Source organism: Homo sapiens, chromosome 14, assembly GCF_000001405.40.
Source record: "Homo sapiens chromosome 14, GRCh38.p14 Primary Assembly".
NCBI classification, from domain to species: Eukaryota; Metazoa; Chordata; class Mammalia; order Primates; family Hominidae; genus Homo; species Homo sapiens.
In genome coordinates this window covers 87,318,662-87,322,045 of record NC_000014.9, presented here as the reverse complement: position 1 = coordinate 87,322,045, position 3,384 = coordinate 87,318,662, and positions in this window count along the sequence as shown.

Below are 3,384 nucleotides of genomic sequence, written 5' to 3'. Positions count from 1 at the left end.
TCAGCAGGTACAGCTGCAAAATTCCCCTTTCCTTTTTGGTATTCTCATGTCTAATGAGAAACTTTGTGGCCTTAAATTAGAATTCCATGCCCTCATCATCAAACCATCAAAGAAGAATCCCTAACTCAATATATAGGCAGTATTGTGCTGGAAGCTTTTGGGCATATATGCCTGTATCCAAAATGGCACCTGGTCAAAGGAGCTATGTTCTGGTACAACTTGAGTCATCCTTTTTCCTTACTGGTAATAGTAACAATGTTCTTTATGATGATTCAAGAAAGTATCATAAACTCATGCATTAACAGTGCCTACCCTGTTCTTAGAATATATCCATAATGCATTCCTCCTACAAGAAAGTGGGAGGCTTTGAAGTGCTTATTATGTAACTGAAGGGATTATGCAAGTTTTTGTTGTTAAATGGACTATTTTTTAAAACTCAATTCAAATACGTTAAAAATCCCAGAGTCAGTATCTAATGGTCACAGAACAAGTAAATATAATACTTCACAATACCTCATATCTAGCATATAGCATATCTAAAATCTACATTCAGTTAATAAATATTACACTTAAATCTCTGAGGTCATTATCTCTTTTTAGATCTCTAAATATATTTTGAGTGCCTACTTTAAAGTCTACAATTCTTCAGACTAATTAAACTGAGAAAATTGCATTTGCAATGGATGATATTCATTTCTATTAAGAAAACCAAAAAGTATACACACAAATATATATTTTGGAAATATGTATACATACATATTTATATATGTACATGTGTATATACATATACATATATACATATATATTCATCTTTCCTTTAGGAGAAATTCTGTATCTTTTAGGTATAATCTTTCATTTGCTCTGGATGGAATGAATCTGTTGGTGAGCATCTTCTGGAAAAACATTATTCAGTGTGGCTGCATTTTCTGCTTTTTCTAGGAAGATCATTTCTATGAATTTCATATAGGCAAGTTGATAGCAAGGTAGGTTTTTATGTGTAATTTATTTTAAAACACTGTAGTATGAAGAGTGTGATACACACATATGTCCAAGTTTCTATCTACACCCTAGGGTCAGCCAATTGTCCCTATCAAGAACCCAGGCCAGGCACAGTAGCTCATGCCTGTAAGCCTGGGCAATGTAGCAAGATTCCATCTCTAAGAAAAGACAAAAAAAAGAAAGAAAAATATTAGCCACATCTACACCTGGTGCTACCTGTAGTCCCAGCTACTCAGGAGGCTAAGGTGGGAAGACCTCTTGAGCCCAAGAGTTCAAGGCTGCAGTGAGCTGTGATGCTGTGATCGAGCCACTGTACTCTAGCTTGGGTGAAAGAGTGAGGCTCCATCTCTAAGAAATAAAATAAAATTCTATTCTACTAACCACCCTCCCCTAATCAGAATGACCACACACTTCAAAGCAGCTACTTTAAATAAACTATTTGGAATTCCTTTATCTCAGATCATCCCTGTAGTATTTTTTTTAATCAGCACAATGAATGCTAGAGGCGGAATACCTGAAATTAGTGGTATTCAAAATATGTGAATTGTCAAACATATCTTAAGGAAGCCCCTTGCCTTTGCATGAATACAGAGGATATAGAATCTAGCAGACCCTTTATGTTTTGCCCTTGGGAATGGTCCCCTACCTTTGATCCCTGAATGATCTTGTGTTCTGCTGTGATTATGGTAGGGTTTTATTTGCCTGACACTGAGAGAGGTTTAGCTTAATCCTGTGTTTGACTCAAGTGACTCTTTCGTGCAATGAATTTTGAGACGTGCCAAGATGGCAGAGATCTGGGACTTCACTGAGCTGACAAAAGAGATTGCATGACTGTTTATTCCTACTTACTAGAAAATGTTTAGATGTTTTATTGACTATGGTCTGAGGATTTCTTTCATTAAAATCTGGTAACAGGTCTTGTCGAGGAGTAGCTAATTATCACCTAACCTGTAGTTACTAGTGGCTAAGATCCACCAAATAGGACCTAATAGATGGATGTGATCAAACTGGCTTAATCTAGTTCATGATAAGTTCTTTTCAGCATCAGTCATGTGACATTCTTTCAACAATATATTTGACCTAATTAGGTATTTATTAAGTACCTAATAAAATTAACTGAGTAATAGTTTAAACTAAATTAAAATAAACCATATACAAATATGCAGAAAGACTCAGTAATTGAAATAGCATGGTGTTAGTTCATTTTCAATTCAGAAAATCAGATGCATTTTCTCTGTTGTTTTGGTACAACCAGATGGAAATCATCACTTTGGTGGACATTTGTGAAGTTGGTATTCAAAAGCAGTTATGTGATTTAGTAAAAGGGGAAAAAAATTGGATTTTGAGTTCATAGCTCTCAAACTCTTGTTTAATAGAGGTTTTTATCTTTGAAAAACTGAATGCCATTGGCACTTGCTTGCTTTTAATTTATTACTTTGTAAACGAAAGAGTAAAACTGGTCTTATTGATTGATTGATTGGTTCACTTATTTCCTCATTCTTTCAATAAATGAAAAACAGGTTCAGCATTCCTAATCAGAAAATTTGAAATTCAAAGCTTCATGATATGAATGCTGAGATAATGGCCAAAGGAAATTCTCATTAGTGCATTTTGGATTTCAAAATTTCAGTTAGGAATGCTCAACCAGGTATAATGATAATGCAAATATTCCAAAATTTAAAAGAATCCAAAATCTAAATCACATCCGGTCCTAAGCATTTTGGTTAAGGGATACTCAAACTGTTACAATTGCAAACACTATTTATTATGTGTTAAACACATCATGCTCTTTGACATATGAAATTTTAAAAGCAATCTTGTAAAGTCAATACTTTTATTATCCCCATGTTAGAGATGAAGATGCTGAGGCACACAGACTGTACATGGATTTTCCGAAGCCTTGAGTTGTGTCCCCTCAAAGTTCACATATTGAAGTTCTGAACCCTAATGCTTCAGAATGTGAATGCATTTGGAGATAGGACCTTTAAAGGAGTGGTTAAGTTAAAATGAGATCATTAGGCTGTGCGCGGTGGCTCACTCCTGTAATCCCAGCACTTTGGGAGGCCGAGACGGGCGGATCACGAGGTCAGCAGATAGAGACCATGGTGGCTAACACGGTAAAAACCCGTCTCTACTAAAAATACAAAAAATTAGCCGGGCGTGTTGGCGGGCACCTGTAGTCCCAGTTACTCAGGAGGCTGAGGCAGGAGAATGGCGTGAACCCGGGAGGCGGAGCTTGCAGTGAGCCGAGATCGTGCCACTGCACTCCAGCCTGGGGGACAGAGCGAGACTCTGTCTCAAAAAAAAAAAAAAAAAAAAAATGAGGTCATTAGGATGGCTCCTAATCAAATACAACTGGTATCCCCATAAGAAGAGGAAATGTGG